The sequence below is a fragment of the Homo sapiens genome, chromosome 2 (genome assembly GCF_000001405.40).
Source record: "Homo sapiens chromosome 2, GRCh38.p14 Primary Assembly".
In the NCBI taxonomy this organism is placed as follows: domain Eukaryota; kingdom Metazoa; phylum Chordata; class Mammalia; order Primates; family Hominidae; genus Homo; species Homo sapiens.
In genome coordinates, this window is record NC_000002.12 from 63,310,261 (window position 1) to 63,334,303 (window position 24,043).

The window sequence follows — 24,043 nt, forward strand, 5'->3', positions numbered from 1 at the left end:
ATGCAGCTAATAACTGAGAGAGCTTGGAGTTGAATCAACAGGCCTTAAATATAAGAAAATTACTATGAGGTTGCTGGACCTGAGGAAATGGGCCTGAAAGAACCCACCTCTTTGTTTACTTCACACTTGTACCTAGGAGCCTTGTCTCGTTTCAGTTTATTTTCTACAATGCAGCCTTAAGTGATCATACTCTAAACAAGGAATCAGCAAACTGTGACCTGCCATCCAAGTCTAACCCAAGCTAAGAATGGTTTTTGGAAAAAAAAAAATCACAGGAACAATTTTATGTGACATCAAATTTCAGTGTCCATATATGAACTTTTATTGGAACACAGCCAAACTTATTTCTGTATTTATTGACTATGCCTGCTTTTGCTCTATAATGGCAGAATTAAGTAGATGCAACAGAGCCCGTATGGCTTGTAAAAAGTCTAAAATATTTGCAAAACTAAGCCAAGCATGGTGGCACATGCCTGTAGTCTTAGCTCCTTTGGAGGCTAAGATAGGAGGATTGCTTGAGCCCAGGAGTTCAAGGTTATAGTGAGCTATGATCACACCACTGCATTCCAACCTAAGTGAAAAACCAAGACCCTGTCTCAATCAATGAATGAATCAATAAAGCAAGCAAGCAAGCAAGCCTAAACTATTTGCTACCTGGCCCTTTAGAGGAAAAGTTTCCTAGCCAAAATACTGATAATATCACTCTTCTATTTAAAATGATTTAGTAACTTCCTATTGCTTTTGAGATAAATTCTAACTCCTTTATATGGAATGTAAGCCCCTTTAGTCTCTCTGCTTTCCAGCCATATCAACTTTCTTATCATGTTGTATGCCTTGTAACTTTTTACCACTGATAATATGCTAATGCAAAAAGGACTATTTTCAGGTTAACTGATACACCTTTGTGTGATCCCATTGTGATTCATATGTTATTATTTTTAGTCTTTTAGCAAGAGATATCTCAAGGGTAGAAAATCATGTATAAATAGGAATAATCCTGTTTAATCTACAAGCTTTTAATTTCAAAAGAGGTAACATTTTTCAATCTATAGGCTATAGACCTCTGGCTAGATGAAATTTAGATAGTAAGAATGAATCTATTAAAAAAATAAATCCTTTTAGGCAATTTCTACATGGAACCTTAAATGTATATAGTAGATTCATGAGCTTAAATAGAACTCTGAGGCTTTAATGCTCTCAATATTTTGAGCTTCTTTAAAGCAGACCTTGGGCTATCAATAAAGTTATGTATGAAGAGTAACAATGCAGCATTCTGAATAATGACTGTTTGCTTTTGCAAATAAAAAGGACAGTAAAACCACTTCTATACTTCCCTTATTTTAGATTTTCATCTTTTATGTGTAAAAATCATCATGGTTTAGGATTAGCCTATCAGTAGAAAGGCTACTGGATGAAGGTGATTTGAACTAACATGGACACTTTATATTGTTATTGGCTAAACTGAGACCGAAAGCTGAAAGAGATATGATTTGAGAAAAGTTTAGAAGGTGCCTTTCGTGATGTTTCTATTAATTATTACAACATTAGAAATTAAAGAACATAATACCTTGAGAGAGAAATTTTACCAGGCACCAAACATTTAAATATTCATCTCTTTAGTTCTTATCTTGGCTAGAAAAAAGACTGAAACTATAGACATAAAAAATAAAGAAATGTGGGGAAAATCTACCATTATTGGGGTAAGTGGCAAAGGTGAAAAGGTGGAGATAAGGAAAAAAGTCAATGGGGCTGGAAAATCTAAAAAGTGTAATTAATTTTCTGACACTGTGATCTCTGCATGTATAGATTTTGATGAAAATAATAAAATCTTCCCTCAATGTCATATGCCTGCTCAATCAGACATCACAAAATGCAGATGACGAACAATAGAATGTTCACACTTTTGAAATTAGATTTTTTATGATCAATAATAGTATAATTAATTGAATGACATACATTTAGAATTTAAATATCAAACTCAATCCAAAGATGATTGATCTAATGTGATGAATCCATAATATTATCTAAAACATCAAAGCTTCATTTAAACTACAAAATGTCTTCACTGTGCAAAAGATTCAGGAAAAGCACCTTCCAGAAGTATTTCTGGCTTTCAAGAGGCTTTTGATTTATTGTTTCTGTGACAACAATGAAATTGCTGTATAACAGAATATCTGAAACATCAAAGCTTAATTTAAACTACAAAATGTCTTAATTGTGCAAAAGATTCAGGCAAAAGCACCTTCTAGAAGTATTTCTTCTTTCAAGAACCTTTTGCTCTGTTGTTTCTGTGGAAACAATGAAATTGCTGTCTAACAGAATATGCTGGGAAACGAGGAAAGGACTTTTCCTTTGTTCATTTGATCTCAATGTGGCACTGTAGTGCAAGATCTTATAAAACAGAAACCTGATACAGAGTACAAGGATTTGTAAGAAACTGGTCAGTTTTACTGTTCTGTAGCTAATAAATGGGAGGGCCAGAGTGTACATGAATTTAACCTCTTGGATCCACTTTGTACTATGGTTACTTAAAAAATACATGTGAGAACATTCCTGCTTTGTTACTCTACACTAAAATATAAGGGACAAACTGAGCACATTCGAGATCTGTGGGACATCTTTTGCCCTATGTCCTGGATTCTATAGCTTTTCTTCAGAGAATGGATTAGAAAGACATTTAAGCTTACTAGATAGATAGGTGTCATCCCCTTGCATCAAGGTACATGAGGAGAAAAGTTCAAGAATTATAAATTCTTAGAAAACACAAAAGATCCATTGGAGCCAGCAAACAAAATGTCAACAAATCAAAAGATATTAGATGGTTATTGACCAGTTTCACGAAAGCAAACCTGCAAGTCAAGATGGAATAATGCTTTCCCACCCTGTGTCTAAGGCTGCAAAATGACAGTAATCCTTTTTATGGTCACAAAAGCTGACAACTTAGCCTTAGAACTGAAGGCACAAAATCATCTCTGAAAATGACTCACCATAAAGAGGTCACGAGCACCAACGTCAACAGCTAGGAGAAATGCCTTTTCAAACCTCTGGTACCTACAAGGCAGAAAAAAATATTATGTTAGTTGTGAACAAGAATATATAAAAGAAAAGAGCTGTTTATTTAACATATATCTGTGATACTGTTTTTGTCCTTCTGATTGGAAAAATATTTTCAAACAGAAGGGATTTGGCCTACTAGGATCTTCCATATGTGCAAAGTTATTACATTTAGGAGGGGCTGAGGCGCAGAGCCTGTGGAGGCCTTAAGTATAACTTTCAAGAATAAACATAACCCCAAGTAGACACTGCTGACTATGATAGCTTAGAAAATACGTTGCCTCTTCTTGTTAGTACCTCCTATATTTGCCTGAATCCCTCTCAGCTATAGAAATCAAAAGGCAATTGTGTTTATTTTGTGAATGAAGAGTGTCTTGTACTAGGAAGCTTATTGATTCATTATATATTCAGTGGAGATGGGATATACTAAGGAAGAGGTCAGAGGATTAGCAAATTGTACTATTTGTCCATGCATTCACTGCAGTTTTGCATTTGTCCCCATTCCATTGTAACTATCTGGCAATACTAATTATTCATACATATATATATATATATATATATATATATATATATTTTTTTTTTTTTGGAGATGGAGTCTCGCTCTGTCACCAGGCTGGAGTGCAGGGGCATGATCTCGGCTCACTGCAACCTCCACCTCCCTGATTCAAGTGATTCTCCTGCCTCAGCCTCCCGATAGCTGGGAGTAGGCGCGCACCACCATGCCCAGCTAATTTTTGTATTTTTAGTAGAGATGGTGATTCACCATATTGGCCAGGATGGTCTTGATCTCTTGACCTCATGATCCGCCTGCCTCAGCCTCCCAAAGTGCTGCGATTACAGGCGTGAGCCACTGTGCCTGGCCCCATCTTCTTTTTTTTTTAATACAGGGTCTCACTCTGTCACCCAGGCTGGAGTACAGTGGTGCAATCATCGCCTTGACCTCCTGGGCTCAGATGATCTTCCCACTTCAGCCCCGCCAAGTAGCTGGGACTACAGGTGCACGCCACTATGCCCAGCTAATTTTTTGTATTTTTTGTAGAGATGGAGTTTTTGCCATGTTGCCCAGGCTGGTCTCAAATTCATGGGCTCAAGCAAACCACCCACTTCAGCGTCCCAAAAGTGCTGGGATTATAGGCCTGAGCCATTGTCATCCATCTTCTTAGGATCAAACTTAAAGGTAAATTCTTACCTTTTGTGCCCCTTTGGTCCCATCTAATTCTATAAATTGCCCTTCCTTGAAACCCTCTCCTACCTTGGCTTGCCCTGCTTTCCTTAATTTTTTGTTTTCCCTTCCTTAGATGTGTTCTTAGTCTCCTTTGCTAGTTCATTTTTCTCTGCCTCCCCATGAAATCAGTATTCTATGATCCTCTTTTATTTCTACCCACTGTCTCCAATCTCCTCAATAACCTTACCACACCCAGGGCATTGCTTATCAATTATCAGTGGCTTACAAATCTACACCTCCGGGATCCATCTCTTCCCTGATCTCCAAATTATTATTTCAAGGCACCTCAAAGTTAACATGTCTAACATGTTCACTGAAACATCAATTTGGCAATCATAGAGGGCAAACTGAAATTGGAGAGAGTGAAATTAAGGGGGATAAGTTAGGATGTGCTCTTCTTTCTAGGTAAGAGGTAATGATAGACAGTAGATGGTAATGATACATGGTAAAATTAAAAAACTGACATTGGCATCTGGCAGCATGGTGAAACAGAAATAACAAAAGGAGACTCCCAACTAGCTTGTTTATAAAATACTTAGTTAAAGTAAATCATAGGACTATGAAAAGTAAGTAAATACCAAGGGGGCCATATCCTCCATAAAAAAATAACCAATTAAACAAAATCCCTTGATAGAAATCAGAGTAAGGATCACTCAGCAGACAACAAATAAGGGGGAAAAACAGGGCAGAACTACTTACAGGGCCATCACCCTTAGGAGATAAGCCTGAACAAAACTCAAGTTAAAGGTGATAAGCTCAGACTGTTGATTAAGGCAAGTAAAAGAGCTAAACCCAAGAATTCTGATTAAGCCAGGGGCTAAAAGAGACCCAGGTTAGTAGTGCCCCTAACTTTCACAGAAACAAACAAATTCATGTCTGGATTAAAGCCTAATAGAGGCCCTCAATGATTTTTTAACATAAAATTAACATAAATTAAAATCAAACAAGTATGAGTTCATAAAGATAATCAAAAACACAAGAAAACAAGGCACTATAACTAAAAATTAGAAAAATAACAAATTTAGATCTCCATGGATTTCAAATAATTGAATTATTAAAGTAGGCATATAAAATAATTCAATATAAAATATTTAAAGAAATGAGGGAGTCATGAAAATAAGCATGTAATATGATACAATAAAGAATAATCAGGTTACTATTTTAAAGAATAAAACAGAACTTTTAGAAATAAAAATCTAATTATTGAAGTTAAATAATTTGATTTTTTTTTTGTTTTGGACTGGGTCTTGCTCTGTTACCCAAGCTGGAGTACAGCAGCGTGATTATAGCTCACTGTAACATCAACCTCATAAGTACCTCGAGTGTCTTAGAAGACCTTGAGTCTCCTAAGCAGCTGTGACTACAAGCATGTGCCACGTTCTGGGGTAATACTTTTTTTTTTTTGTAGAAATGAGGTCTCATTATGTTGCCCAGGCTGGTTTTGAATCCATGAGCTCGAGTGATCTTCCTGCCTCAGCCTCCCAAAATGCTGGGACTACAGGTGTGAGCCACTGTGCTCAGTCAATTTGACACATTTGAAGAAAGAATTGGTGAAATAAAAGTGCATAAATTATGTATAAGTCAGGAATTACACAGAATGTTACACAGAGGAAAAAGAGATTAAAAATATAAAGAGAGGCTGAGCAAATTACAGAAAATGAAAAAGTCTAATATGACTACACAGGGAATTAAGTTAATGGCTAAGAATTTCCAGAGATGATAAATGATATGAGACAATCAACACAAAAGAAACAATGTATATCAGGCAGGAGATATAAAAAGGAAATTTAAAATATCCACATTTGTAATGGAAATGCAGAACTAAACAAAAAAAGAAAATAAGGCCGGGCGCCTATAATCCCAGCACTCTGGGAGGCCGAGATGGATTTTATCACTTGAGGCTAAAAGTTCAAGACCAGCCTGGGCAACATAGTAAAACCCCACCTCTACTAAAAATACAAAACTGAGCCAGATATGGTGGTGGGTGCCTGTATTCCCAGCTACTCAGGAGGCTGAGGCACAAGGATTACTTGAACCTGGGAGGCAGAGGTTGCAGTGAGCTGAGATTGTGCCACTGCATTCCAGCCTGGGCAAGAGAGTGAGTCTCTGCCTCAAAATAAATAAATAAATAAATAAAAATAAAAGAAAAAAAACTAAAAGCTTCCAGAAAAGAAATAAAAGGCATCTATTAATAAATAGGAAGAGAGGAAGTCAAACTATCTCCCTTCTCAGATGATAAGATTCTATACCTACAAAATCCCATAGTCTCTGCCCAAAGACTCCTAGATCTGATACACAGCTTTGGCAAAGTTGCAGGATACAAAATTAGTGCAAAATGAGTTGCATTTCTATACACCAATAATGTCCAAGCTGAGAGCCAAATCAAGAATGCAATTCCATTCACAATAGCCACAAAAAGAATAAAATAAGCAGGAATACAGCTAACCAGGGAGGTGAAAGATCTCTACAATGAGAATTACAAAACACTGTGGAAAGAAATTAGAGATGACATAAACAATTGGAAAACCATTTCATGCTCATGGATAATAAGAATCAATACCGTTAAAATGGCCATACTACAGATTCAATGTTATTCCTATCCAACTACTACTGACATTTTTCACAGAACTAGAAAAACCTTAGATTTATATGGAACCAGGCCAGGCATGGTGGCTCATACCTGTAATCCCAGCACTACTTAAAAAAACAATACAAAACATTAGCTGGGCGTGGTGGCGGGCACCTGTAATCCCAGCTACTTGGGAAGCTGAGGCAGAAGAATAGCTTGAATCTGGGAGGCAGAGGTTGCAGTGAGCCAAGATCGCACCATTGCACTCCAGCCTGGGCAACAAAAGTGAAACTACATCTCAAAAAAAAAAAAAAATTATATGGAACCAAAAAAAGCCTGAACACCCAAAGCAATTCTAAGCAAAAAGAACAAAGTTGGAGGCATCAGGTTATGCACTTCGAACTCCTACAAAGCTACAGTAAACTAAGCAGCATGGTACTGGTACAAAAACAGACACATAAACCAATAAAACAGATTAGAGAACTTAGAAATAAAGCCAAACACCTGCAACCAACCATCTGATCTTTGACAAGATAGACAACAGCAGCAATGGGGAAATGACCTCCTATTTAATAAATGGTGCTGGAGTAACTGGATAGTCGTATACAGATGATTGAAACTACGCCCCTTCCTTTCACTGTATACAAAAATCGATTCAAGATGAACTACAGACTTAAATGTAAAACCCAAAACTATAAAAACCTTAGAAGAAAACCTAGGAAATATCATTATGGACATAGGCCCTGGCAAAGATGTCATGACAGAGACTCCACAAGCAACTGCAACAAAAACAAAAAATTCATGAATGGAAAGACCAATTAAACTAAAGAACTTCTGCATAACAAAAGAAACTATCAAAAAAGTAAACAGAGAACCTACAGAATGGGAGAAAATATTCACAAACTATGCATTTGGCAAAGGTCTAATATCCAGAATCTATAAAGAATTTAAACAAATTAACAGGCAAAAAACTTAAAACCCCATTAAAAAATAGGGAAAGGACATGAACAGACACTTCTCAAAGTAAGACACTCAGCCAACAAGCATATGGAAAAATCCTCAGCATCACTAATCGTTAGAGAAATGTGAATCAAAACCACAATGAGATACCATCTCATAACCAGTCAGAATGGCTATTATTAAAAAGTCAGAAAACAACAGATGCTGGCAAGGGTGCAGAGAAAAAAGAACACTTATACACCCCTACTGGCAATGTAAATTAGTTCAGCCACTGTGGAAAGCAGTTTGGAGATTTCTCAAAGAACTTAAAACAGAACTACTATTCAACCCAGCAATCCCATTACTGAGTATATACCCAAAGGAATATAAATTGTTCTAACATAAAGATATGTGAAGTGTATGTTCATCACAGCACTATTCACAATAGGAAGGACATGGAATCAACCTAGATGCTCATCAGTGGTTGACAGGATAAAGAAAATGTGGTATATATACACCATGGAATACTATGCAGTCATATAAAAGAAAGAGATTGTCCTTTGCAGCAACATGGGTGGAGTTGGTGGCCACTATCCTAAGAGAATTAATACAGGACCAAAAAACCAAATACCCCATGTTCTCTCTTATAAGTGGGAACTAAACACTGAGTACACAGGGACACAAAGAAGGTAACAGTAGATACCAAGGCCTACTTGAGGCTGGAGTGTGGGAGGAGGGTGAATTGAAAAAGTACCTATCGAATACTATGCTCATTAGTAGCATAGTTATTCTGGGTGATGAAATAAGCTGTACACCAGACCCCCATGACATGCAATTTACCCTTGTAACAAACCGGCTGATGTACCCTTGACCCTAAAAGTGCAAGAAAAAAAGAATAACTTATACATAAAGTTTAAAAAAAGAAAAAGCTGCCAGAGAGAAGACATATCATCTAAAAAGGAACTACAAATAGACTGACCCTAGACTTCTCATTGGCAACAATGGGAGGTAGAAGACAGAAAATATCTTCAAATTATGGAGGAAAAATAAGCATCAAGTCTTTGTGCAGCGACTCCTCCAATTTGTCGATTTTTGTTTTTGTTGCAATTGCTTGTGGAGTCTTTGTCATGATGTCTTTGTCAGAGCCTATGTCCAGAACAATATTTCCTAGGTTTTCTTCTAAGGGTTTTATAGTTGTAGGTTTTACATTTAAGTCTCTAATCCATCTTCAGTTAATTTTTGTATACAGTGAAAGGAAAGGGCCTAGTTTCAATCTTCTGTATATACAAAAATTCTAAACTTGAATGTACTTAATAAAATAGGCTCAAAAATGTATAAAGCAAAACATGAATAGAATTAAAACAAATGATCAGACTACCATCACTGTGTGAGACTAAGGGTTATCTCTAAATTTTTGCTAGTCTAAGCATTGAGTAAATTAGAAAGAAACAGGAGTCTTAAACAACATAATTACAAAGTTATATTTATTGGATACACAGAACTTAAATCAGAGAACCACCTCCTGGGTTCACACCATTCTCCTGCCTCAGCCTCCCAAGTAGCTGGGACTACAGGGGCCCACTACCGCGCCTGGCTAATTTTTTGTATTTTTAGTAGAGATGGGGTTTCACTGTGTTAGCCAGGATGGTCTCCATCTCCTGACCTCGTGATCCACCCGCCTCAGCCTCCCAAAGTGCTGGGATTACAGGCCACTGTGCCTGGCCCAGAGAACTTTAAATCTTAAATCAGAGAATACACATTCTTCTTAAGCACAAATGGGATATCTACAAAATTATATTATGTAGTAAGTAAAAAAGCATGTCTCAATACATTTTAAACATTATAATTAATCCATCAACAATGTAATTAATTGACAAAAAGATAAGCAATATATGCACATGTACTTAGAAATGAAGTCATTAGTCAAAGAAGAAATCATAATAGAAATTTTAAAATACTTAAATAAATGCTAATACTATAAAAAAACTTGAGCAAATGAGGTATTTGAAGGGAAATCTATAGCCTTACATGCTTATATTGAAAAGAAGGTTAAAAATTGATAAACTAAACATCCAACTTAATAATTTAAAAAAACAATAGCAGAATAATCTCAAGAAGGCAGTGGAATAACATGTTTGAAGTACTGGAAGGAAGAAACACACAAAAAATTTTATATGCAGCAAAGACTCTTTCACAAATGAAGGTGTAATAAAGACATTTGCAGGAAGAAACCAAGAAAATTTATCACAAGTAGAACTACACCGTAAGAAAGACTAAAAGAAGCTCTTTAGGCTAAAATAAATGCTAGATGGAAATGCAGATCTTCAAGAAAGAATGAAAAGTAAGAGAAACAGTAAATACCTGGGCAAATATAAAGAACTCCATTACCTTTATTTAATATACACTAGTCTGTTGAAAGCAAAAATTATAACATTTTGTGAGGGTTGTAACATGTAGGTTATACAATAGCATAAAGGATGGGGTAAGGTGGGTAAATGAACTGATACAGTTCATTGCAAGATTTCTACATTTTCCATGAAGTGGACTGCATGAAGATTTCTACATTTTAATTCTAAGTGGACTGTAGAACACTAAGGATATAAATGTAACCCTTACAGCACCACTAAAAAAACAGTGCAAGTAGGTATGACTGAAAAAGCAAATAAATAAAAAATCTGGAAAATATTAAAATAATCCAAAGAAGGAAGGAAAAGAGGAGTGAAGAAACAAAAATTAGTAAAAATTAGTACAAACAAAAAACAAAATGACAGACTGAATTGCAACTACATCCATAATTACATTAAATGTTAATGAACTGAACATTTCAATTAAAAGACAAAGACTGTCATAAAAGAGCAAGAACCAAATATATGCTGTTTGTAAGAAGTCCACTATAAATATACAAACACAGATAGTTTGAAAGTACATAAATAGAAAAATGTAAATATGAAAAGGCTAGAATGGCAATAATTATCAGATATAATATACTTTAAAAAACAGTATTAAAGGAGGGACATTTCATAATGATAAAAACACCAATTCATCAGGAAGACCCAACAATCATGACTGTGAGTGTCTTAAATATATGAAACAAAAAAAAGGTGACAGAAATAAAGAAGACAATTATATTAACAGTTGCTTTTAGCACACCTCAATCAGCAAGATAAACAAATGGAAAGTTAAACAAATAAAGTAATAGATGATCTCTATATTCATGTAACTGATATTATAGAACAATATCAGTCTGAAGTACTGAAGTGTGTCTCTATTATCAGAGTATATATATATATATATACATTTTGATATGTACTTTGTGTGTATAGACATATATATACACTCTGTGTGTGTGTGTGTGTGTGTGTGTGTGTGTGTGTGTGTATCCACCCACATGAGAGCTCCTTATTGTTACTTTGCTGATTTATTTCCTCATTTTTGTCATTCTGGCCCATCTTAGACTGAAAATGTTACGTGCAAATTAACTACTGGTTTGCTTTTGTCTGTTTCTTCTTATATCTCCTACAATTTCTGCTTTACGAAGATTCCTATCATTTTATTTGGTACACGGATATAACTTTTTTTTATTATGAAAGGTAGCCCACAGCATTGTAGAGTGACTTTCTTTGTTCTGTTTAATAATCTGTGGCATAATTCTGTCTTGTTATACAGTATATAATAATCCCTGCTTAGTTTGTATTTTTTGCCATATGGCAACTTTGCTTTACTTTTTAAAAAATTGTTTTGATTTCATATTTGTTTTGTATATAGGAATGTTTACATTTTTATAAACTCAAGTATGTATAATTAATGTAATTCTCTTGAGCTCCTTTTTCTTTATTTCTATTGTCTTCTTTTTACATATCACTTTACTGAGGTATTATTGACACAAAAAAAGCTGTACATATTTAATGTATACAACTTGATTAATTTGGAGGGAAGTAGACACCACTGAAGCTATTACTGAGAGGTGAAGCCAGCTGGGTTTCTGGGTTGGGTGGGGACTTGGAGAACTTTTCTGTCTAGCTAAAGAATTGTAAATGCACCAATCAGCACTCTGTGTCTAGCTAACAGGTAGGGGGCTTGGAGAACTTTTCTGTCTAGCTAAAGGATTGTAAATGCACCAATCAGCACTTTGTGTCTAGCTAAAGGTTTGTAAATGCACCAGTCATCACTCTGTCAAAATGGACCAATCAGCTCTCTGTAAAATGGACCAATCAGCACTCTGTAAAATGGACCAATCAGCAGGATGTGGGTGGGCCCAGATAAGGGAATAAAAGCAGGCCACCTGAGCCAGCAGTGGCAACCCGCTCGGGTCCCCTTCCATGCTGTGGAAGCTTTGTTCTTTCGCTCTTCACAATAAATCTTGCTGCTGCTCACTCTTTGGGTCCATGCTGCCTTTATGAGCTGTAACACTCACCGTGAAGGTCTGCAGCTTCACTCCTGAAGTCAGTGAGACCATGAACCCACTGGGAGGAAGAAACACCTCCAGATGTGCCACCTTTAAGAGCTGTAGCACTCACTGCGAAGGTCTGCGGCTTCACTCCTGAAGTCAGCGAGACCATGAACCCACCAGAAGAAGAAAGTCTGGACATGTCTGAACATCAGAAGGAACAAACTCTGGACACACCATCTTTAAGAACTGTAACACTCACCGCAAGGGTCCACAGCTTCATTCTTGAAGTCACCGAGACCAAGAACCCACCAATTCCAGACACATTTTGGCGACCCAGATGGGACCATCGCCTATCGCCAAGAAGTGAGACTATCGCCTATTGCCAAGTGGTGAGTACCATCGGACCCCTTTCGCTTGCTATTCTTTCCTATTTTTCCTTAGAATTCGGGGTCTAAATACCAGGCACCTGTCGGCCAGTTAAAAGCTACTAGCGCAGCTGCCAGACTAAAGACACAGGTGTCAGGCTTTCTGGGAAAGGCCTTTCTAACAATCCCTGACTCTTCAGAGTTGGTAGCGTTGGTTTGCCTGGAACCAGCTTCCGCTTTTCCTGTACTTCTGGACTGAGCCCAGGGTCGACAGAGAGGAAAGCCATTCAGCTCCGGGGTCCCAACAACAAGTTGGTTGACCCTGTGGCCATGAGTGGAACTCTCAAAGTCATGTCGCCCAAGCGAGACTTGCCCATCTATTCTATCTACCCTGACCATTGCCCCCTGGGTCCTAACGCCTGCCAGACAAACTTCCCCTTGCCTCTCTTCTCCAGGCTAGTCCTGCTTCTAAAAACCACTCCCTGTCTCTGGTGCTTTTCTAGTTTCTCCTATAAGAATGATTTCTAGTATAAATTTGGGATTCTGTTACCTTCTGTAGGCACCCAGGCTCACCAATCAGAAAGACGTAATTTTTGCCCAAAGCCCCATCGTAGGGGGGACTATCTGGAATTTTAGGATCCCTCCTCAGACTAGCAGGCCTAACAAAAGCTATTCCTGAAGCTAGAATATGGGGAGCCTCAGAAATTGTATCCTTCCTATTCATATAAGTAAGGACAAAAGGTGTCACTCTTCCAACCCTGGACATCCCTTCCCTCCCTCAGGGTATGGCCCTCCACTTCATTTGGGGGGCATAACATCTTTATAGGACATGGTTAAGGTCCCAATACTAACAGGTGAATGCTTAGGACTCTAATGGGTTTTCGAGAATGTGTCGGTAAGGGCCACTAAATCCGATTTTTCTCGGTCCTCTTTGTGGTCTAGGAGGACAGGCAAGGGTGCAGGTTTTCGAGAATGCGTTGGTAAGGGCCACTAAATCCGACCTTTCTCAGTCCCCCTTGTGGTCTGGGAGGAAAACTAGTATTTTTGCTGCTGCGTCAGGGAGCACAACTATTCCGATCAGCAGGGTCCAGGGACCGTTGCAGGTTTGTGGGTGGGGGAGAAACAAAACAAACCAAAACCACAGGCGGTTTTGTCTTTCAGATGGGAAACACTCAGGCATCAACAGGCTCACCTTTGAAATGCATCCTAAGCCATTGGGACCAATTTGACCCACAAACCCTGAAAAAGAGGTGGCTCATTTTTTTCTGCCCTACAGCCTGGCCCCAATATTCTCTCTCTGATGGGGAAAAATGGCCACCTGAGGGAAGTATAAATTACAATACTATCCTGCAGCTTGACCTTTTCTGTAAGAGGGAAGGCAAATGGAGTGAAATACCTTATGTCCAAACTCTTTTCATTGAAGGAGAATACATGACTATGCAAAGCTTGCAATTTACATCCCCCAGGAGGACCTTTCAGCTTAGTCCCATATCCTAGCCTCCCTATGGCTCCCCCTCCTATTAATGATAAGCCTCCTCTAATCTCCCCTGCCCAGAAGGAAATAAGCAAAGAAATCTCCAAAGGACCACAAAAACCCCCGGGCTATCGGTTACGTCCCCTTCAAGCTGTAGGGGAAGGGGAATTTGGCCCAACCCAGGTACATGTCCCCTTCTCCCTCTCTGATTTAAAGCAGATCAAGGCAGACCTGGGAAAGTTTTCAGATGATCCTGATAGGTACATAGATGTCCTACAGGGTCTAGGGGAAACCTTCGATCTCACTTGGAAAGATGTCATGCTTTTGTTAGATCAAACCCTGGCCTTTAATGAAAAGAATGCAGCTTTAGCTGCAGCCCAAGAGTTTGGAGATACCTGGCATCTTAGTCAAGTAAATGATAAAATGACAGCCAAAGAAAGGGAAAATTCCCTACTGGTCAGCAAGCTGTCCCCAGTATGGATCCCCACTGGGACCTCAACTCAGATCATAGGGACTGGAGTCACAAACATCTGTTGACCTGTGTTCTAGAAGGACTAAGGAGAATTAGGAAAAAGCCCATGAATTATTCAATGATGTCCACCATAACTCAGGGAAAGGAAGAAAATCCTTCTGCTTTCCTCAAGTGGCTACAGGAGGCCTTAAGAAAATATACTCCCATCACCTGAATCACTTGAGGGTCAATTGATTCTAAAAGATAAGTTTATTACCCAATCAGCTGCAGATATCAGGAGAAAGCTCCAAAAGCAAGCCCCAGGCCCTAAACAAAATCTGGAGGCATTATTAAACCTGGCAACCTCGGGGTTCTATAATAGGGATGAAGAGGAACAGGCCCAAAAGGAAAAGCAAGATCAGAGAAATGCTGCAGCCTTTGTCATGGCCCTCAGACAAACAAACCTTGGTGGTTCAGAGAGAACAGAAAATGGAGCAGGCCAATCATCTGGTAGGGCTTGTTATCAGTGTGGTTTACAAGGACACTTTAAAAAAGATTGCCCAATGAGAAACAAGCCACCCCCTCGTCCATGTCCGCTATGCTGAGGCAATCACTGGAAGGCACACTGTCCCAGAGTGCAATGGTTCTCTGGGCCAGAAAAAAGCCCCCAACCAGATGATCCAACAATAGGACTGAGGGTGCCTCGGGAAAGCGCCAGCTCATGTCATCACCCTCACTGAGCCCCAGGTATGGTTAACCATTGAGGGCCAGAAAATTGACTTCCTCCTGGACACTGGTGTGGCCTTCTCAGTGTTAACCTTCTGTCCCAGATGACTGTCCTCAAGGTCCGTTACCGTCCGAGAAATCCTGGGACAGCCTGTAACCAGGTATTTCTCCCACCTCCTCAGTTGTAATTGATAGACTTTGCTCTTTTCACATGCCTTTCTTGTTATGCCTGAAAGTCCCATACCCTTATTAGGGAGGGATATATTAGCCAAAGCTGGAGCTATTAGCTACACGAATATGGGGAACAAGTTACCCATTTGTTGCCCCTTACTTGAAAAGAAAATCAACCCTGAAGTCTGGGCAGTGGAAGGAACAAACTGAAGCTCCAGCTTTAAGCCTTCCCACAGGACAAAACTTCTCTTTATATGTCAGAGAGAGAGCACGGATAGCTCTTGGAGTCCTTACTCAGACTCGTGGGACAACCCCACAACCAGTGGCATACCTAAGTAAGGAAATTGATGTAGTAGCAAAAGGTTGACCTCACTGTTTACAGGTAGTTGCAGCGGTGGCTGTCTTAGTGTCAGAGGCTATCAAAATAATACAAGGAAAGGATCTCACTGTCTGGACAACTCATGATGTAAATGGCGTACTAGGTGCTAAAAAAAGTTTATGGCTATCGGACAACCGCCTACTTAGATAACAGGCGCTACTCCTTGAGCGACTGGTGCTTCAAATACATAAGTTCGTGGCCCTCAACCCTGCCACTTTTCTCCCAGAGGATGAGGAACCAATCGAGCATGACTGCCAACAAATTATAGTCCAGACTTATGCCGCCCGAGATGATCTCTTGGAGGTCCCCTTGGCTAATCCTGACCTTAACCTATATGTTGATGGAGGTTCGTTTGTGGAGAGTGGGATGCAAAGGGCAGGTTATACCATAGTTAGTGATGTAACTGTACTTGAAAGTAAGCCTCTTCCCCGAGGGACCAGCGCCCAGTTAGCAGAACTAGTGGCACTTACCTGAGCCTTAGAACTGGGAAAGGGAAAGACCAGCAGAAAGGAAAGAGAGAAAGAGACAGAGAGGGGTAGGGAGAGACAATGAGGGAGTCAGAAAGAAAGAAAGAGACAAAGTCAAAGAAGGAAAGAGAGAAAGAGACAGAGAGAGGAAGAGACAGAGAGACAGAGAGAGAGGGAGAGGAAGTGACAGAGAGACAGAGAGAGAGAAAGATAGGAAGTCAAAGAGAAGGAGACAGACAGAAAGTCAGAGAGAGAGAGGAAGGAACAGAAGAAAGTCAGAGAGAGAGAGGAAGAGACAGACAAAGAGGGAGTCAGAAAGAGAGACGAAGATGTCAAAGAGAAAGAGAGATGGAAGTAGTAAAGAAAAAACAGTGTACCCTATTCCTTTAAAAGCCAGGTAAATTTAAAACCTCTAATTGATAATTGAAGGTCTTCTCTGTAACCCTGTAACAACACTCCAATACCACCTTGTTGTCAGTGTGAACAAGGGTGTAGCCTGAAAGCACTGAGGCCACTGACAACCCATAGCCTTCCTATCAAAAATCCTTAACCTAACAGGTTTCCTAACAGGGGATCTAAATCTTAATTAATTACCATACAAAGTTCTGACCAAATCTGGGCAGAACTCCCTTCAGGACAGGACAATAGATGGTTCCTCCCAGGCGATTAAGGGAAAAAGACACAATGGGTATTCAGTAAGTGATAAGGAAACTCTTGTAGAAGCAGACTTAGGAAAATTGCCTAATAATTGATCTGCTCAAACCTGCGAGTTGTTTGCACTCAGCCAAATCTTAAAGTACTTACAGAATCAGGAAGGAGCCATCTATACCAATTCTAAGTTAATATGGACTGAATGAGGTTTTATTAATATCAAAGAAAAATTAAAATCCCAAACTTAAAAGGTTTTCAACTAAAGTTTGCTAAAACTTAACAGTGTAACATGCATTATCCTATTACCACACACTCTCAAAGGATTTCTCAGACAGTTTGCAAGAAATAACTAAATCTATCCTTACTCTACAATCCCAAATAGACTCTGGCAGCAGTGACTCTCCAAAACCCCCGAGGCCTAGACTTCCTCACTGCTGAGAAAGGAGGACTTTGCACATTCTTAGGGGAAGAACGTTGCTTTTATACTAACCAGTCAGGGACAGTATGAGATATCGCCCGGCATTTACAGGAAAAGGCTTCTGAAATCAGACGCCTTTCAAACTCGTAAACCAACCTCTGGAGTTGGGCAACACGTCTTCTCCTCTTTCTAGGTCCCAAGACAGCCATCTTATTATTACTTGCCTTCGGGGCCCTGTATTTTTAACCTCCTTGTCAAATTTGTTTCCTCTAGAATCGAGGCCATCAAGCTACAGATGGTCTTACAAATGGAACCCCAAATGAGTTCGACTAACAACTTCTACTGAGGACCCCTGGACCAACCCGCTGGCCCTTCCACTGGCCTAAAGAGTTCCCCTCTGAAGGACACTACAACTGCAGGGTCCCTTCTTCGCCCCTATCCGGCAGGAAATAGCTAGAGCAGTCATCGGCCAAATTCCCAACAGCAATTGGGGTGTCCTGTTTAGAGAGGGGATTGAGAGGTGAAGCCAGCTGGGCTTCTGGGTTGGTTGGGGACTTGGAGAACTTTTCTGTCTAGCTAAAGGATTGTAAATGCACCAACCAGCACTCTGTGTCTAGCTAAAGGTTTGTAAACACCCCAATAAGCACTCCGTCAAAACGGACCCGTCAGCTCTCTGTAAAATGGACCAATCAGCAGGATGTGGGTGGGCCCAGATAAGGGAATAAAAGCAGGCCACCCGAGCCAGCAGTGGCAACCTGCTCGGGTCCCCTTCCACACTGTGGAAGCTTTGTTCTTTCGCTCTTCACAATAAATCTTGCAGCTGCTCACTCTTTGGGTCCGCGCTGCCTTTATGAGCTGTTAACACTTACTGCGAAGGTCTGCAGCTTCACTCCTGAAGTCCGCGAGACCACAAATCCACCGGGAGGAACAAACAACTCTGGACGTGCCGCCTTTAAGAGCTGTAACACTCACTGTGAAGGTCTGTGGCTTAACTCCTGAAGTCAGCAAGACCATGAAGGAACAAATTCTGGACACACCATCTTTAAGAACTGTAACACTCACTGCGAGCGTCCGCGGCTTCATTCTTGAAGTCAGTGAGACCAAGAACCCACCAATTCCAGACACATTACCACACTCAATGCCATAAACATATCTATCACTTCCAAAAATTTCCTCTTATTCTGTTTTCTAATTTTTACTTTTTCTTTTTGACACAGGGTCTCACTCTGTCACCCAGGCTGGAGTACAGCAGTCATGGCTCACTGCAGCCTGAAACTCCTGGGCTCAGGTGATTCTCCCACCTCAGCCTCCTGAGTAGGCTGGGGCTACAGGTACACACCACTGTGCCTGGCCAATTTTTTTTATCTTTTGTAGAGATGGGGTTTTGTCATGTTGCCAGGCTGGTCTCGAACTCCTGGGTCAAGCCATCTGCTGGCCTTGGCCTCCCAAAGTGCTACAGGCGTGAGCCACCATGCCTGGCCCTCTTAATTTGTTTACTTTCATGATAAGAACACTTAAGATGTACCCTATTAGCAAATTTTTAAGTATGTAGTACAGTATTTGTTAATGATAGGTATTACACTGTACGTTAGATCTCTAGGTCTTACTCATCTTGCATATCTGAAACTTTGTGCTCTTTGACTAACACATGTTGTTCCCCCTCCCACTGGCCCTGGCAATAACTATTCTACTCCATGTTTCTATGAGTCTGACTTTAGATTTCTCATATGAGTGGAATAAGTCATATTTGTCTGCTGTTCCTGGCTTATTTTACTCAGCAAAATGTGCTCCGGGTTCATCCATGTTATAATTTCCTTTATTTTATAAGGCAAAATGATACTCTATTTATGTACATACCGCACTTTTTTTTTGCAAGTACATTGCTTTTATTGATTATACTGCAATATAAGTGAAAGATACAGATGATATTAATAGAACTTTGTAAGTATTTGAATTCTATTTAATTCTGCTAAGAATTAGAGATTGACTAATCCTCACAGAACTTCCTAATTTGCCTTGTAGATGAAGTTGGTAGTCTGAATTTTATTATTCTGGTTTTGTATATCAATGTTTCTCAATTTTTTTCATTATTACCCTTCCCCCAAAGGTCTTTTCATTTAAAAAAATTTTAAATGTGAAATATCCAAATTTTTCAGGGCTGACTGAATTTTTTTGGTACCCTTTGCCTAACATCTCTTCTTTTCCAGAATGCCTCATTTCCCTAACTTTCTGGTAACCACCATCCTATTCTGTATTACTATGAGTGCAACTTTTTTTTGATTACACATGTAAGTGAGATCATGGAGTCTTTTTGTGTCTGGCTTACTCACTTAGCATAATGTCCTCTAGGTTCATTCACATTGTTGTAAGTAACAGGATTTCCTTCTTTTTAAAGGCTGAATAATATTCCATTATATAGATATGTATCTCATTTCTTTATCCATTCAACTTTTGAGGGAAAATTAGGTTGTTTCCGTATCTCAACTGTTGTGAATAATGCTGCAATGAGCATGAGTATAGATGTCTCTTCAAGATACTGATTTCATTTCCTTTTGACATATACCTAGAAGTAGGATTTCTGGACCATATGATAGTTTTGTTTTTAATATTTTGAGAAACCTTTATACTGTTTTCCACAGGGCCTATACCAGCTTACATTCCCCCCAAGTGGTATCCTTTTATGCACATTCTTGCCAGCCACTTGTTACCTTTTGACTTTTTGGTTAGTAGGTATCGTAACAGATGTAAGGTGTTATCTCTTTGTGCTTTGATTTTCATTTTCCTGATAATTAGTAATGTCAAGCATCTTTCCATATACCTGTTGGACATTTGTGTATCTTCTTTGGAAAGATGTTTATTCAGTTCCCTTGCCCAGTTTAAAATTTGGTTGTTTATTTGCTATGGAGTTGTATGAGTTCCTTATATATTTTAGATATTGACTCCCTTCCCAGCTATATGGTTTGCAAATATTTTCTCTCATTCAGTTGGTTGCCTTTCATTTTGCTGATTTTTTTTTTCTTTGCAGTACAGAAACTTTTTAGTTTCATGTAGTTTCATTTCTTTATTTTTCCTGTTGTTGCCTATGATTCTGATATCAAATCTAAAAACTCATTGCCAAAACCAATGGCAAGAAACTTTACCTCTTTGTTTACTTCTAGCAGTTTTAGTTTCACAGTTTTATGTTTAAGTCTTTAATCCATTTTAAGTTAACTTGCTTGTATGGTATAAGAGAAGCATCCCTCTTAGAACTGTTTTGCTGCATCTAGTTATGTTTTGGTATATTGTGTGTTTCATCCTTAGGATGCATATGTTCACTGTTCCCCAAGGCTTTTTTTTTTTTTTTTTTTTTGAGACGGGGTCTTGCTCTGTCACCCAGGTGGGAATGCAGAGGTACTATCATGGCTCACTGCAGCCTTGACCTCCCAGGTTCAAGGATCCTCCCACCTCAGTCTCCCAAGTAGCCAGGACTACAGATGTGCACACCCAGCTAGTTTTCGTATTTTTAGTAGAGGCAGGGTTTTGCTCTGTTGTCCAAGCTGATCTTCAGCTCAAGAAATTCACCCATCTTGGCCTCCCACAGTGTTGGGATTACAGGCATAAGCCATCATGCCTAATTTTTTTAAAGCCATCGGCCATATTTTTTTAAAGCCAGATTTGACACCATGTAGAACAGCTTGGAAAGATATAAAATCCTTGGCCCATCCCCTTTTTCCTTGAGTATTTTGTAGTCACTGCACCAGTGTTCTTTTGTTGGTATGAAATCTGATGTTAACTTGATTATTTTTACCCTTTCAAAATGATTTAATGTTTTGGCCTGGAGACTGGGAGGATATATTATCTTTAAAGTCTGTTTTACTAAGCTATTTCATGGAACAGTCTGACTGTTTGGGTTAATTTTCCAGGTACATTGTGAGTTCTTTCAGTACGTACATTCAAGTCATCTATTTCAGGAAAGATATCTCGAATGTTTTAATCACCTATTGAGATATGATTCATTTATAATAAAATTCACCACTTTAAACAGTGCAAGGGGTTTAGATGAATGTATAGTTATGTTACAATAACTACAATCAAGATAAGTATTTTTTAGATCATCTCAAAAAAGTTTCCATGTGCTATTTTGCAGCAAATGCCCTTAGTCCACCCACCTTCAGGCTTTGAAAAACAATTTATCCACCTTGTTTCTGTCACTATACTTTTGCTTTTTTTCCTAGCATGTCATATGTTTGATATCAAACAGAATATAGTCTAAAATGTATCAGGCTTTGCTTTTCCTTTTCAATAATATCATAAATGGAATAGTGCAGAATGTATTGTTTTTACCTTTCTTTTCATAAATCTTTAGAGATTCATCCATTTTTTTCAGGTAGCTAGCTTTTAAAAAAAAATTGAGTAGCATTAATCAACAGTTTGTTTATACATTTACCAACTGGTGGTCATTTGAGATGTTCCCATTTGGGCCTGTTATGAATAATGGTGCTTTAAGTATTCATGTATAAGTTCTTGTGTGGAGATGTATTTTCAGTTCTCTTGGGGGGAGATACATATATATATGTGTGTGTGTGTGTATATATATGTATATATATATTTTTATGTATATGTTCCAACCATTCTAATAATATTCTAATAATTCTAATCATATGATTAGAATGGTTAGAATGTATAAATATAAATATATATCTCCCCCCTAACAGAAATACATATATATGTATGATTAGAATGGTTAGAATTATTGGGTAATATGGTAAATGTATTCTTAAAAGGAACTGCTGAACAATGCTCCAGTATGGTTATAACATCTTATATATCCAAGAGCAACACAGAAAATTTCCAGTATATCCACATCCTCCCCAGCACTTGGTATTGTCTTTTAAATTTTATCCTTCTAATGGTTCCTACTGTAGTGGCTTCTTATTATATGTAAAACTTATATTTCTCTGATGACTAATGATGTTGAACATTGTTCATGTGCTACCTAGACATCCATATTTTTTCTTTGGTAATGTGTCTCTTCAAATCTTCTGTCCATTTTTTATTGCGTTATCTTACTGTTAAGTTGTAAGAATTCTTTATATATGCTGGATACAATACTCTAATCAGATACTGTTTTATCAGATACATATATTGAGAATATTCTCAGTTTGTGGCTTCCATTTTCATTTTCTTAATGGTGTCTTTTGAAGAGCAGAAGCTTCCAATTTTAATGAAGATCTGTCTTTTTTATTCTTTATTTTTTCCTTATTTGATTTTGTAGAGACAGGGTCTCACTGTGCTGCCCAGACTGATCTGGAACTCCTGGCCTCAGGTGATCCTCCCACCTTAGCTTCCCAAAGCACTTGAGATTACAGGTACAACCACACTCGACCTATTTTTTCCATGTTATATCTAAGAAATCTTTATATCAAAATCATTAATGTTAATCTTCTATCCACTTTTCCTGAAGGTCTACAGTTTCACCTCTTATATTTAGGCTTTACCCATTTCAAGTACATTTTATATTGGTATGAGAACACGATTTTTTATTTTTTTGGCCCACACAGATATCCGATTGTTTTAGCACCATTTATTGAAAAGATTACTCATTTGATGACTAAGCTCTGATTTTTTTTATCTTGCCCAAATTCCTGTATAAGGGGTCTGGGGACTCATGCCCTACAAACCAAAAATTCTCATCAGATGGGTTTTATTAAACCCTGTATATCATGACTTACTTTCCAATCTGACTCTGTCATAACAAGGAAGAAAATCAAAATGTTTTACCCCAAAATATATTTCCTTGTCATACCTTGAAATTGTCATGCAAAGTCTCTTGTGGGAAAAATTCACATTCTGTAGAGAATCCCCTTTCCCTTTTCCCCTTTGTTTTCCTTCCTTCCTTTGCAGATCCAGGAGATAATCAACTAAGAGCTAGGAACACGTTTAAGTCCACTAAGAAACATTTTACAACCTGTTCTCTCTGAAGTCCGCTATCTGAGAGCTTCCGCTACACAATAAAACTTGGTCACCACAATCCTTTATCTTAACCTGAACATTTCCTTTCTGTTGATCCCATGTCTTCAGATACACTCAACCAATTGTCAACTAGAAAATGTTTAAATTTACCTATAGCCCGGAAGCCCCTGCTTTGAGTTGTCCTGCCTTTCTGAACCAAACCAATGTATTTCTTAAATGTATTTAAGTCTCATGCCTCCCTAAAATATATAAAACCAAGCTGCACTCTGACCACTTTGGGCACATGTCCTCAGGACCTCCGGAGGGCTGTGTCATGGGCCATGTTCACTCATATTTGGCTCAGAATAAATCTCTTAAAATATTTTACAGAGTTTGACTCTTTTCAACAACACATTCCACATAGAATTATCTTGACAAGTTAATAAAAACCCACTTGTAATAAGTTTTGAAATAATGAAGGGGAAATATACAAACTTTGTTCTTTTTCAAGATTGTTGGGGGCACTTTGTAGTTTCATATGAATTCATAGATTGGCTTTCCCTATTTTTGAGAAAACAAAAAACACATCCATTGGAATTCTGGGAGGGGTACCATCAAATTTGTACATTACTTTGTTTACAATTGCCGGCTTAACAATACCAAGTCTTTTAATCCATGAACATGGGGTGTCTTTACATTTATTTAAGTCTTAATTTCTTTCAGGAATGTATTATAGCTTTCAGTGTTTATTTCTTTCACCTTGTGAACCCTGAATATCTAACTGAGACAGGTCTCAGTTAATTTAGAAAGTTTATTCTGCCAAAGTTGAGGAT

The 24,043-nt window shown here is 38.5% G+C and overlaps 1 protein-coding gene across 21 annotated transcripts in view, besides 2 other annotated features; it reads right to left on the reverse strand.

Annotated features, from left to right (window-relative positions):
- The window catches only part of WDPCP (WD repeat containing planar cell polarity effector), a 721,268-nt gene that overhangs the window by 190,702 nt on the left and 506,523 nt on the right, over nt 1-24,043 (reverse strand). For all 21 annotated transcript variants that reach the window (NR_148705.2, NR_148704.2, NR_122106.2 and 18 more), the window contains one exon: nt 2,988-3,051. Coding sequence is in view for 16 of the 21 variants with exons in the window: in XM_047444629.1 (XP_047300585.1) it covers nt 2,988-3,051 (64 nt within the window). In the remaining 5 variants the exon portion in view is untranslated. The remainder of the gene's footprint in view (nt 1-2,987; nt 3,052-24,043) is intronic.
- Nucleotides 13,253-13,829: an enhancer, noted in NCBI's record as "OCT4-NANOG hESC enhancer chr2:63550648-63551224 (GRCh37/hg19 assembly coordinates)". NCBI's record gives its function as "activates a minimal SCP1, AML or CMV promoter by ChIP-STARR-seq in naive and primed H9 embryonic stem cells {active_cell/tissue: H9 hESC(naive and primed)}" and the evidence as "EXISTENCE:reporter gene assay evidence [ECO:0000049][PMID:30033119]".
- Nucleotides 13,830-14,405: an enhancer, noted in NCBI's record as "OCT4-NANOG hESC enhancer chr2:63551225-63551800 (GRCh37/hg19 assembly coordinates)". NCBI's record gives its function as "activates a minimal SCP1, AML or CMV promoter by ChIP-STARR-seq in primed H9 embryonic stem cells {active_cell/tissue: H9 hESC(primed)}" and the evidence as "EXISTENCE:reporter gene assay evidence [ECO:0000049][PMID:30033119]".